The sequence below is a fragment of the Homo sapiens genome, chromosome X (genome assembly GCF_000001405.40).
Source record: "Homo sapiens chromosome X, GRCh38.p14 Primary Assembly".
NCBI classification, from domain to species: Eukaryota; Metazoa; Chordata; class Mammalia; order Primates; family Hominidae; genus Homo; species Homo sapiens.
The window spans coordinates 78,747,333-78,761,074 of record NC_000023.11 but is presented as its reverse complement, the minus strand read 5'-3'; the positions used below and the strand labels follow the sequence as shown (position 1 = coordinate 78,761,074).

The 13,742-nt window shown below is 35.9% G+C and overlaps 1 protein-coding gene across 10 annotated transcripts; it reads right to left on the bottom strand.

The window, feature by feature from the left end:
- LPAR4 (lysophosphatidic acid receptor 4) lies at positions 2,361–13,355 on the bottom strand. 10 transcript variants are annotated; one of them, XM_047442015.1, is made up of 5 exons: positions 13,041–13,355; positions 10,852–12,174; positions 10,283–10,345; positions 9,764–9,865; positions 2,361–6,284 (listed from the first exon to the last, which is right to left on the bottom strand). In XM_047442015.1, exon 5 carries the CDS (start codon positions 6,203–6,205, stop codon positions 5,093–5,095), a length of 1,113 nt encoding a protein of 370 aa, XP_047297971.1. In that variant the 5' UTR covers positions 6,206–6,284; positions 9,764–9,865; positions 10,283–10,345; positions 10,852–12,174; positions 13,041–13,355; the 3' UTR covers positions 2,361–5,092. The 10 variants fall into 10 exon arrangements, with proteins under 10 accessions (XP_047297971.1, XP_016884926.1, XP_047297968.1 ...); XM_017029437.2 differs by having other exon boundaries at positions 10,852–12,112; XM_047442012.1 differs by having other exon boundaries at positions 10,852–11,299.

The window sequence follows — 13,742 nt, the reverse complement described above, 5'->3', positions numbered from 1 at the left end:
TTTTTGGCTGCATAAATGTCTTCTTTTGAGCAGTAATCCAACTTACAAGGGATGTGAAGGACCTCTTCAAGGAGAACTACAAACCACTGCTCAATGAAATAAAAGAGGATACAAACAAATGGAAGAACATTCCATGCTCATGTGTAGGAAGAATCAATATCATGAAAATGGCCATACTGCCCAAGGTAATTTATAGATTCAATGCCATCCCCATCAAGCTACCAATGACTTTCTTCACAGAATTGGAAAAAACTACTTTAAAGTTCATATGGGACCAAAAAAGAGCCTGCATCACCAAGTCAATCCTAAGCCAAAAGAACAAAGCCAGAGGCATCATGCTACCTGACTTCAAACTATACTACAAGGCTACAGTAACCAAAACAGCATGGTACTGGTACCAAAACAGAGATATAGATCAATGGAACAGAACAGGGCCCTCAGAAATAATGCGGCATATCTACAACCATCTGATCTTTGACAAACCTGAGAAAAACAAGCAATGGGGAAAGGATTCCCTATTTAATAAATGGTGCCGGGAAAACTGGCTAGCCGTATGTAGAAAGCTGAAACTGGATCCCTTCCTTACACCTTACACAAAAATTAATTCAAGATGGATTAAAGACTTACATGTTAGACCTAAAACCATAAAAACCCTAGAAGAAAACCTAGGCAATACCATTCAGGACATAGGCATGGGCAAGGACTTCATGTCTAAAACACCAAAAGCAATGGCAACAAAAGTCAAAATTGACAAATGGGATCTAATTAAACTAAAGAGCTTCTGCACAGCAAAAGAAACTACCATCAGAGTGAAAAGGCAACCTACAAAATGGGAGAAAATTTTCACAACCTACTCATCTGACAAAGGGCTAATATCCAGAATCTACAATGAACTCAAACAAATTTACAAGAAAAAAACAAACAACCTCATCAAAAAGTGGCCGAAAGATATGGGCAGTACGTGGTTCTTAAAAATCTGCATACGGTGGAGATTTTGACTCAGTAGCCTGCGCTCTTTTGCTTCCTTGTTCATAAAATATAAACAATCTGCTTCTTATTTTACCTAATTTCACCAAATCCACCAGAATCAGGAGACATTTGAGGGAAATAATCCATGCCTATATGAAATGAGAATACAGGCTCCCAGTCACTTCAGGTGGTTTCGGAAAAGAGGGCTGTCTAGAAACAGGTGGTATATGGTTTGGAATCAACAGAACACAAAGTGAGCTCAAGGGAGCAGGACAAGAAAGCCTGCAGTGCAGAAGCTCCACTGCAAGGCAAGAGAGGCTGAGGCTTAACAGATGATTTACCATTTACCAGGACAATCATCTCTTCCCATCCTGACCCTCCTTCAGTCATTTGAATTAACTGGACTCCTTTTCTAAGATGCGAACACCAAAAGGTTAAAAACAGTCAAGGAGAGAAAAATGGGGGATCAATCATTCACACCTTAATGTAAATCTGTTCAGCCTGTCACTGTCTTGATAGAGCTTTATGTGTTGTCTTTTTGTTCAGGAAGAAACGATATTTCTGGAGAGGGTGGGAAGACATGTTGGAGAACACAAAGACCACATGTAAAACAGGGAGAAAGTATGAAGTTTGGGAAACCATATTAAATATAAGGTACGGGGATTGGGGGTGAAGACAAAAGGTAGAAGAGGGCAGATAGGAATGTGAAACCTACAGTTTCTGTCCCTATGTTTCTGGGGACGTGACCTAGGGCATCATTAATGGCAAACTTCCTCTAGTTTTAAATGTAGCCTAGGGCTGATCATGCTAGTCATGATCAAAAAATGCAGAGTTTGCTGTCATCTCATGGGGAACTAACACAGCATATGGTGCTTGAGATGATGACATTGCCTTCCCCGAGAGTTAGAGGCATGAGCATGATGACCAGAAATTCCGTTTTGCTACCTCGGGACCATCACCTGTTCTAGGTATTAATCTGCCAGCCACTTAGCTCTGCATTCATCTTATTGTTGTCAAGACGATCTGTTTGCCCTATCTTTTCCCAGGCTTCCCAGTTGTTGTCCTAGAATATTTTGTCAAATCCTAGAAATTAAAATCTGAAGTCAGCTTGGCTAGCAACCCCAAATAAATCAAACCCAAGTTCGAAAAATCAGGAAAAGAGGTCATTAGTCTTTCATCTTGATCCCTGAAAAGTTACCCAGGAATTTGCCATTTGCCATTTCTGCATTAGTCTTCAGATAGCCTCAGAAATGAGTTATTGAAATTAATTTGAGAGCAAATATAGTCTAATAATTCCTTTGTGAAAAGATGGAGGGAAGATAAAGGAGAGATGCCTTTGGGTGGCCACAAATAAAGAAAGTTGAATAATTGATCAAAGTATGACTGCTAAATAATTCAAATATATTTTATTACATTTAATAAACATTTAAAATCCAAGTTGCAATTACAGCTGCAAAATTGCTTTTCCTTTCGATGTAACATAGTCACTTTTATATTTAGTTATACTTTACATTTTCTTGGTTACATTGTTAATGTGACAAGTTTTATTATTAGCAATTTATATTAACTATAAAAATGGAAATTTGAGAAGTGAAATATAAAAAAATTAAAACTAAACATGGAAATTACACAAGAAACATTTAATAATATATTTTATTTCAACTTAGTTAATATCCCATTAAATGGTTTGGTGTCATAATCATAAAATTTTATAATGTTAAGAAGCAAGGGCACAAACAAATGTTCACATATATTTTATACTTAACAAGAAATGGAAAAACATGAATACTGAAAGAAACAAAAGATTATTCACGCTTTTATTACTGATTTGATCTTACCATATAATCTAACAACTGAACTTATCTTAACCTAATTTTATTTAACTGAATCTAATGCCTTATATATTCCATCTATAGCCTCTTTTCATAAGACTACATAATGCATAATTACTTTTAGGACTTTCATTGGGAAAAAGTAATGCCAGTTTTAAGAATTTGTTTTTACTATTGTTTTAGCATTTTTTCACTTTGTTCCTAACCCAGACACAGATTTTACAGTTTTTAAAGTTACATTATGCTAACAGATTTTTACTTAAAAGTCTCAGTATTTTTAAGTCTGCATATCATCAGAAAGAAAAACAAGTTAATGAGTTTTAAAAATTTGCTTATTGTTTTAGAAGTTTTACTTTTTTGTTATTGTTCTGTGCTTTATAATTGTTTAACCACTTTCTGGCACAAGTTCAGCAACTTGCAGGATACATTTTTCCTGGAAGTTTTGTTTTAAAATTCTTAGCATTTTTAAATTGCCATGTTATCCAAATATTTTAAAAATTGATTAATGCACATTTTAAAATATTTTTGTTGTTTTTCAGGGTTTAACATTTAATTTTGGTTTTTGTTGTTGCTGCTGCTGTGTATGTGTGTATACGAGGGTTTATTTCCACTGCTCCTGACTTGAGCACAAATGTAGCATCTTTCAAGCTCAGAAGTTATATTTACAAGTTCTAATATTCTTAAATATCCACTTTAGTTTAAAAACTAGTAAGAGTTTTAAAGATTTTTGCGGTTTAAGTAAATTATAAAAAAATTTTCTCTTTTTTTGTAGATTTTAAAATACTGTTTTTAATTCCTTTTAAACTGGGTGCCATTTTAGCAGCTTCTTAGTTGCAATTTGATCCAAAGCATTATATGAATGTTATAGTGTTTTGTAAGTTTCGCAGATGCTCAGAAAATGCAAGTTCTAAATTTTGTTTGTGCTTGTTTTGTTTGTTTTATCGCAGTTTGATTTTTGACCTTTTTTTCCCACAACTTGTTCCTAACCAGGAGACGAATTTAGCCACTTGGTAGCTGCGTTGTGCTTCAAAATGTTATGCAAATGACATAGTATTTTTACATTTACAGAACCTCAACAAATAGTAATGAAAGTGTTACAAATTATTGTTGAGGTTTTTTTATTTTTATTTTTCTTGGGGTTCTCTGGTTTTTTTGTTTTGGTTTGGTTTAGTTTATGTGTTGTTTTTTTTTTTTATTTGCTTCCAATCCAGGGGCACAAATTCAGCAGCTCCTGGCTATATTAGGCTCCAAAATTCGATAAGAAAGAATAAGTATTTTCAGGTTATATATCTCTACTCCTCCCTCCAAAAAGGATTAATTCAGGTTTTAATAAATGTTTTTGCTTTATAGTTTGATTTTTTTGTATTACTTTATTTTTTTTTTCAATTTGCTCCTGACCTGGGCACAAATGCAGCCCCTTTCTGGCTGTGCTGTGCTCCAAAGTATAACAGGGAGGATAAATATTTTATAGAACCTAGTTTCCCAAAATGAAGATAACGTGACATTTTAAGAAAAAATATGTTGGTGTTGCTCAAGTTTTTTTATTGACACTTTCCTGTTTTAAGTAATTTTCCAGCTTTTACCTGCCAGACACGTATTTAGCAGCTTTCTGGCTTTGAAGTTTGACATGAAAATTTTAATTTGGTGTAAAAACAACGAAGTTTTTTAAACTCACACTGCTGGTGATTATAATTGTGTAAATCCTGTTAATTTTCTTTTTCTTCCCACCCACGTACATGCCAACGCAATTTGTTTTCTGTTTTCAAAATGCACATAACATATTTTACCAATGTTAAAAATTTGACACATTTCTTATTAATAATGTTAGGCTAAAAATATTCTTGTGCTAAAATAAACTCAATGACAGTTCAAAAAAATAAAATAAAACTAGCATATATCAGTAGTAACACAATTTTTTAAAAATCCCTGAATTTGTTCTATATTTATAGGCCCAACCTAATTACCAAATATCATTGGAATAGAAATACCTTTTTGAAAGTTTCAAAGTCATCTCTATATTATCAAATGCCACTAGCCACCTGGATAATGCGATACAATGAAATTCCAACCAAGCAGAAGAGTTTGGCAATCCATCTTGGTTGTTGTAATTAGATTTGACCTATAATTACTGAACAAAACAGCAATAAAAACTCTACAGTATACCTTCAAACAAATGTATCTGACTGGATTTGGTGCATTATTCTCAGTATCATTAGCTTCAAATCTTTAGTTTATAGCATAGGAAAAATTATAGGAGAAACCATATCTGGACCTGAACACATTTCTCATACCTAAAAGGTGGATTCTAGCATTAATTCACCACCATTATTTGTTGTTTGATCACTCACTTCCTCTTGAATAGCTGGAAGGGAAGGCTTTGTGGTCAAAGGTGTTTCAGTCTTAAACAGGGACTCCATTCTGATGTGGGCATTGATGTAGAAGGACTTCTGAAAGGATTCAAGGGTGAAGTAATAGATGAAAGGGTCAAAACAACAGTTCAGAGTTGCAAGGCACAAGGTGATTGGGTACATGATCTTTGCAAATCTTTCCAAAAAGCAATTAGTAATAGCTTGGGAGCGCACCAGGGCATACAAGAAGAGGACAGAGTTGTAGGGTACAAAGCATACCACAAAGACTGCCATATGTACTGTGATCATTTTCAGTACTTTTTTCTTATTGGTCCCAATTTGAGACAGAGTAGCAGGCTTGCGAAGAGTTCTCAGCACCACAGAAGAGCAAGAGACATTCAATATTAGAGGAATGATAAACCCAACAACTTCAATAAATATTGTGATCTTGGATAAATAAGTCTTCCAGACACGTTTGGAGAAGCCTTCAAAGCAGGTGGTGGTTGCATTGTTGACATTAGTGGTGGAAAACAAAGAGGCTGAAATACCGCCACTGAGGACTAGGATCCAGACACCAGCACACACAATGGCAGAATTCCTCCTAGTCCTAATAGTACGAGATCGAAAAGGATAGACAATGGCCAGGAAACGATCCACACTAATACAGGTGAGAAAGAGCATGCTCCCATAGATGTTGGTAAGGAATGCAGTTCCAGAGATCTTGCAGAGGGTGTCACCAAAAGGCCAGTGGCGGTTGAAGTTGTAAAATATTTTAAAAGGTAGTGTACAGACAAAAAGCAAATCAGAGACAGCTAGATTGGTGATAAAAATAGCAGTCTCACTTCTCATTTTCATGCGGAAACAGAAGACAAACAGAGAGACACTGTTGGTTATCAGACCCAAGATGAATACAACACTGTAGACAGCACCATTGAGATTATACTTGAAGGAATCATCAACAATGCAAGTATTATTGGCAGTAGCATTGCCCAACCTGGGTCTGAGGCTTGAATTTGAATCTTGGAATTGGAAGTCAATGAATCTTCTGTCACCCATGGACTTTTTTTTCAGGAGGCCTGCTGGCTGCAGGGGTTCACCACTCTGACACTATGGACCGGTAGGAAATATTTTCCTCCTATGAGAGACAAGATGGAACAAATAATCAAATTTGCCTTCCATCCATGATTTCTGTGTAATAAGATATTCTGTCCACCCAGATTGGAAGAAAACATGCACATTCCATTTGGTTTGACAAGTATTTTTTGAACATCTATTATATATTTAAAGGTACTACAAGAGTATGTTGCAGGAGCAGGAAAGCTCACACTCAATACAATAAGTGCAATACTATAGCATTGCAAATGTAACTAAGGTGTAGGTCACTCAAGAGTCCAAAAATATAAAATGATAGTTAAAACAGCATTTATGGGACTGCAAAACCTCTAACATTAAAGTCAGGCTTTATTCACTATGATCGGCTTGAACTTATCTTCTACAATAAGTACTGCCAGTATAATTATTTTATTTGGAAAATGCTTTTATAATGGAAGGCTTTTCCCTTCTGCCCAGAGTCCCTCCAGTCTGCCCACTAGTGATCCTTTTACACAGCATGATTCTAGCTCACTGGCTATATATTATTTTGTGAGTCTCAAGTTGATACATTTCAAATAGATCTCCCCAGTTTTCCATTCAGATTTTTTATGATTTCAATCATTTTATTTTTTATTTGCATTATGTTTAACTGACAAATCATAATTGAACTACATTTATGTAAGTACGAGGCGATGTTTTAATATATGTATACTACATGAGGTGATTATGTCAAGCTAATTAACACATCCATCCCCTCACTTCAGTTTTATGTTTCCAGGAACATATATATTACACCCACAGCAAGCAGCCTGCAAATGCCTGGCACTTCTGCTCTGCTGCTCTGAGTAATCAAACTTTGTGGGAGAGAAAGGACAGACAAGAAAACATTACATTCTCAATCCTGAAGAGAGGGCATGGGAAAACTGCCACTGTGGCCCTATTCATAGCTCCCATTGCTTGAACACACAACCACCTTTGCCGTCTAGAAGTGAGGGTGTGGCGCTGGGACTTAACACAGCATTAGAAGCAAGGAGTTCTATTTCTGACTCAGACACTGGTTCACTCTGTAACTTGGCTATACTCTCTCTCTTCCTTGTATAAACTTTACCTCTAAGCCTCACAGCTAAAGCTAGGAAGATTCAATAGGGCTTGTGAATTGCTTTATGAGCTTGCTAGTATTCGGCCCTACCTAACTACAGAGAAACATTATGTAAGTTTGTTTCTTCCTCCCTTCCTGAAACAACTGTAACTTTATATTTCTGTCTTTTTTGGTATACTGAAGTTCACATTAGGAACACATCCTTCTAGTGTCATGTATACCTTGTGCCTCAGAAAGCTCCCCTTGAGTTTCAGCCTTAACTACACAATTTACTCAAACAGGACAATCCAGGAGTGTGCCCTCAAGGTAATATTTCCCATACAGGTATGATTAAAAAACCAGAAAGACATTTGGCTCTTGAGATGATTCTGAAGAAGAATCAATATTAGCCTCTTTTCTTACTGGCTTCCTTTCTTTTGACTAAAAGAAACAGCATTTCTAACTATTAGATCTTCCTAAATAGCCAACATATTGTGCACTAAATAGAGGCAAAGGACCAACACTTGAGCTTCAGATGAAATGAAGAAGGAAAAATATATGCTGATGCAGTTAATTACATTTTCCACTGCAAGGAGCATTAAACTACTGTCTTCTGCAAACCTCTGCTCCCAATTATTCTGACAATTAATCACCTAAGGGTGTCAGAGAGTGTTGGGTAGCTGCATTTTTATTGACAATGGACAGGAAGCAGGTCCCGTGGAGGTTGACCAAAAATAAATCTGACCCTCAACTTTTAACTTCAATCTACACCTGGAGCTAATTCAGAGTGGCCACAATTGTTTCCTCTTTTTTAAAAAATTTCTAATGATAGTAAAATACAGGTATACCATATTTGGGGTCCTTAAGGCTCCTGGAAGAAGTAAAGTTAGCCTTTTGGCCCTATAAGGATAAATAACCAAATCACTTCACTTCATGAAGTGCTAAACTTTCAGATCATACATTGAAAACAAAGCTCCAACTTCTGGCATAAATATGCCCGGTACCCTAGAAAAGCTGACTTGCTTTTGCTCCCTACAGAGGACAGTCCAGAGCTCAGGAAGACAAGGCCTTGAAGGCAGAGTATACTAAAATTATTTTTGCTTTGCTCCATTTTTAATAAGCGCAGGCCAGGTCAGAGTGCTTCTGATCCCCAGAGCATTTCCTTGTTCTACTCTGGTCAAAGTTTATGAAAGTTGACACAATAGTTTTCAGAGGAAGATGAAATCTATTGTGTTCTTATGTATAGATACTTAGCAGTGAAGCAGATTTAAAAATACACAAATGTTGTGAAAAATACAGCTCAAAACAATCCTGCTGGAGCGATAGGGAATATGTTCAGACTGTTGCTTCTCAAATTAGTGGTTTCTAACAGATAAGACTCTAGGTCAAGTCACAGGCATAGGTCACACTCATACAGGTTTTATATCAGTGTTCCTATACATTGGTTGATGCTTCATAATAGTTTTTGAAACAAAACCTAGCTTTATGGCATTCCATATGGAGGGAACCATAGATAAATGTTTCACTCAAGAATGGAGCTAGGAAATTGATCTAAATCAACCTCTTTTATTTTTGATGCAAGAAATAGCCTTTTAAAAGTGGCTTATCTACACCTAATCTGGTTTTCACTAAGATTATTAAGGCTGCTTTGTCTCTCCATTTTATTTGAGGAAAACAGGAAACTGATATGGGCCTCAATTTGATAAAATCCTGTTCTCAGTGATTAACTTGATATTTTTTTTTCTTTTCATCAAAAAAGAAAAAAAATACTTCAGTCTCTTATTAACACTTCACTTGATAACACAGTCCAATCTTTGGGAAATAATGTGGTCTGGTGCTCAACATGATGGGGCCAAAGATTGCATCAGCCCTACTAAAGTAGAATTTTCCCTAGTACTTAGTTACAGAGTAAGAAAACTACAGGTAAATTGCTCAACCTAATATTATAAAATTGTCTTGAGTCTTGAGACTCAATATCTCATCTCAGCAGAAGCCCCAGATCTTTGGGGACAATTTTTGGGTGTTCCCAAAATAACTCATTTCCAATTTCTGTAAGGGTCATATATACCAGCCAGGATTTTGACATTATTCCATATATTTGAACAGGTAAATCAGTTATCAATTTGGACACCAATTCATGTGATATACTTAGACACTGAAACTGATAATAGCAATAAAAAGAGTCTCCCATATCTAAAGGTAAATCCCAGTGGCAGAGAGGGGTTGAGCTAAAGAATCAATATTCATCTTCATCAAAATTGCCTGGATTATAACAAATTACAATTCCTCCATCCATTCTAGATCTTCGGATGATACAATCTTTAAAAAGTTGGAACTATTTGTTACAACAAAAGTTGGAGAATTAAATTAGGAATTTGCAGTTTCTCTACACATTTTCAGGTTATTATTATTATTTCAGTAATTTTCAGGAGGGTAGGACTCACCACATTAGTTCGAACCAAATCCTGGCACCAATTTTATCTAAGACTGGAATAACCAATGAGTTTCCTGGAGGCACTGTAGTTAGAGATTTCCTCCAATGGGTGCTGTGAAATAGAAATAGTCATAATAGTGTGCCATAAAGAGAGCTGATAGCTTTTCAATAAAATGTATATTTTCAATAAAATGATCTTATAGAAGATCATAAGACAGAAAAAGTATTATATGATATAAACCAGAGTAAATGAGACCCAATAAATTTTAAAATGGTATTTACATGCATTGGATTTCATTATTACAGAATTGCAGATAACAATGTATTTTCCAACCTGTCACTGCTGTGCTATATTTTTTTAGTAGTATTGACTAAACACTAGTGCATAAAATCCATATGTGGTAACCTATAATAATTTAAAGATAATGAGTGACAAAAGACATAAAAATATTTCCTCCACTTCCATAAGGTAATGCATTACATTAAAAATACCAAAACAAAGGAGAATTTTGTTTTGGCATGAACTTACATTGGGTCTTTTTTTTTTCTTTTTTTCTTTTCTTGGCAACAACTGTTACCATTGGGCAGGGTCCTTAATAAGGGAAGAGGGAAGAGGAAAGATGACTGGAACAACAGGTGGAGACTCCACTGTCTTGTTTTTTACCTACACCCCACACAATTTCTCTCTCCACTGAACTACAGTGATATGATCAAGGCTTCAATTCAAACACTGACTGACAATCACTGCACCTTTACCAGGATGTCCTAGGCCTACCCAATATAGCATGTCTGTAACATCTCCAATTCAAACTCTGCACAAAATATTTGTATAAAACCAGAAATACTCTGCGATGGAATTCTTAGGAGTAGCAACCGCATTTAGAATTTACCCATTACAGTGCTTCCATCTGTAAAGTAGAATCATCCCCTAGCTCCAAACGTACACTATTGTTACATCTCATCCTTTTCTAAACAGAGGTAGCCTAAAACAAAGCAAACTTCTAAATAGTATTACAACTCTCCTGAAATGATTTTTCTATAATCTAAAAAAACAAAATAAGTACAATGATTAGATAATTTAAGATACATTGAGATCACCTTAATATTAAGGAGAGTTGATTTTCACACTCCTCCAGAAATCTGTCTTCCTGGAATGAAATGAATATTTTATTCCATTTTATTGGTTTATCGTAAAGGAAAACAGAAGCATTAACATTATTTTATGCCTTTCACAGTTGATAACGATTATACAAAAAACCTTTTATTCAAAATCCAAGCAAATTAGGAAGTTCAAATACCCAGAAGTTTTTATAACTGATATTAATTAAATATAGACACATCCAGCCCCATCACGAGCTCTGTGAGAGCAAGTCACAGTCCATTTCTGAGTCTCAGTTTCTCTTCTCCTTTAATCTTCAGTCTTGACTGACAGAAAAGCAACCTTCAATGAGTGCCATGCTGGTGGCCTTACTGGCTGTTCTTTTCCATCATTTATTTTCACCTGCTTACATTGGCCACTGTAAAACATTTTTTATTTCCTCAAAGTCTGCAAGCAAGGAGGGTCATTAATTTTTATTAGACTTAATGAAATGATTGCTAGATTTATTTGAATATTAGAAATAAATAGTATTAATTAATACCGGAAGCTAAGAATCACAGAGAAAGATGCCACTAATATCCTAAAGTCTTCCAAATTCCCTTATTTTCCTCATCCTCTGTCCTTGTGCTCATTTCAGCAGGCATATCACCTCTAATTGTTTAGGTCTCAACCCTCAACCCTTCCCACCTGTTTCCTGGTCACTTCACCCCTCAGAATATGAGGTTATCGGCATATTTCAGGACATAACCATGTAGAATCATTAGATCATTTACCCGTTACATTGTTCTGATAACTGATTATTTATCCGCTTAAAGTAAAGGTGGATTCCCAGTGGTAGGTAACCTTTTATTGGGCTCCCAATTTTCAGTACTAATATTCGCAAACACATTACAGGTTTTGTTCTTCCCCCAACAAGAAGGCCAAGGGCAGACTATATGTGATGACCATATACACAGACAAAAGGTAGCTACACAATTAGGCGCTGAACAAACCACAGCAAGGGCAACAATTCTCACTGCATTTTCCCAAAAGGCAATTGAATAGATCAAGCTTTAGCTAAGCTTGGCCTGAATGTTTCTGTGAGGCATCTTCCTGGTTCTCCCTTTAACTTGCAGAGAGCACACATTCTGAAAGACTGGCCTGATTGTTCCAATAAGGCTTTCATTCCCATCTCTGATTGGCAGGAGAGACTTTAGAATGTAGATGCCATCAAGTTTATCAGGTGAACTCATCCTTCTTGGCAAGAGTGCAACTTTTCATCTGTGACAAGGCAAAAGGTTTTATAATCTATGTTGATGGGATATGATGTTGGGAATTTTGTTCTGAAAAATAAACGTGTTGCAAAGCCATTGGGTAATCTGGATCTCAGGTTATTATTATTGTCTTTATGTTAGTCAAGATAAAGAAAGATGGTATAATTTTGTAAGGTAGCAAAGTGAATAACCCCACCAAGCTCTGAAATATTCTAACCTTTGAATTTGTCTGGTCTTTTCCACACTGAAATAATGATAAATTACATTGCTGAATTTCCTTTTAAAAGGTAACTGAAATACTGTATTTAGCAACTCAATAAGACCTTTTTACTGAAAATATTTAAAATTTACAAGAAGAGAGTTTAAAGATGACACATTGATGCATTTGTATGGCAAACAGCAATTAATTTCACATATAATTGCAAATTCAGTTTATGACAGAGTTTTTCATTCAAACATGATTCTTCCTTTATGGGCAAGTTCATGAATTATTCAATATAGCAAATGTCACATTCTCCATAAATCAATTAAGCATCAAAGACATGTCATGTATAGTTTTACTAGAAGAAACCTCATCATAATACAAGCCACGTTAGCGCACAATAAACTGTAAACCAAAGAAATACAAAGCTAGTCGACATACTTTCTAAATTGTTCTACACTGTGATTTTAAATTAGCTCTTTAGAACAACTGTGTTTACATGAAACAGCAGCCTGAAAATCCTGTATGTCTTCCACGGAAACAATATTATTGCCAAAACAATGGAAATTCTCGTTTTTTACCATTCATCACGAAGATCCTTGTTCAGTACTTCAGAGTTGAAGTCTAACTTCTTTCCTTACACTCTCAAAGCATCAGTGTTTCCACTGTAGTTTGTTATGCTATCCCCCACCCCCAAACGCCAAAATCAAATCTTTTTAAAAGAGAAACTTACCCCAAGAAAGAGTGTGCTAGATGAGAGAATGTGCTGATGCCTGTAGATAATTAGCTAATAAACATGTAAATGGGCAACTCGCCCTTTGGAAGTGCATATTTTTATCCATTTTTTTTTTTTTTTTTTTTTTTTTTTTTTTACAGGGAAAGGTTAGCCCAGCCTAAAGTAGCAGACTCTGGGCTGCCGCAGCTTTTTACTGCAAACCGCTCATTCTGTAAATGTGAGCTTATTTACATTTATCTCTTTCCCTTTGTTAACGACTCCCTCTCTTGAATGCTGTAGCCCGCATGCCTTTAGCAAACAGGACACAAAAAGGCCTGAAGTCCGAGCTGGAGCCGACGGCCAGGGGAACTCTTGGGGGTCTCAATAGGAAATGCTTTTCATTGGCTAAGGAGGCATTATTAGGAGTCTAGATCCCGCCCAATTCCCTGTGCTCCATCGTTCCCTTAGTCACCAGTCACTGGACTGAATAAGTTTTTCCTTAAAGAGCATTGCCCAGGAAAAGCAGTTTCACAGTCAAGAATTAATGGCTTAAGTGCCACTTGACAATATAAAAAGTGTCTTTCCTGACCAATTAATCCACAGAGAAAGCCTGTGTGCCTGTCTTTGCCGCAGGACTGCAGAGGAGGAGACAACATTTCAAACAAGGAGGAGTGTTTCAATTATGCATACCATGTTCGCTCCTACTTGTTTAAAATAATT

Bases quoted from the DNA above. Each gene is read 5' to 3' on its own strand.
- LPAR4 (XM_047442014.1), bottom strand. From the start codon at position 6,205: ATGGGTGACAGAAGATTCATTGACTTCCAATTCCAAGATTCAAATTCA.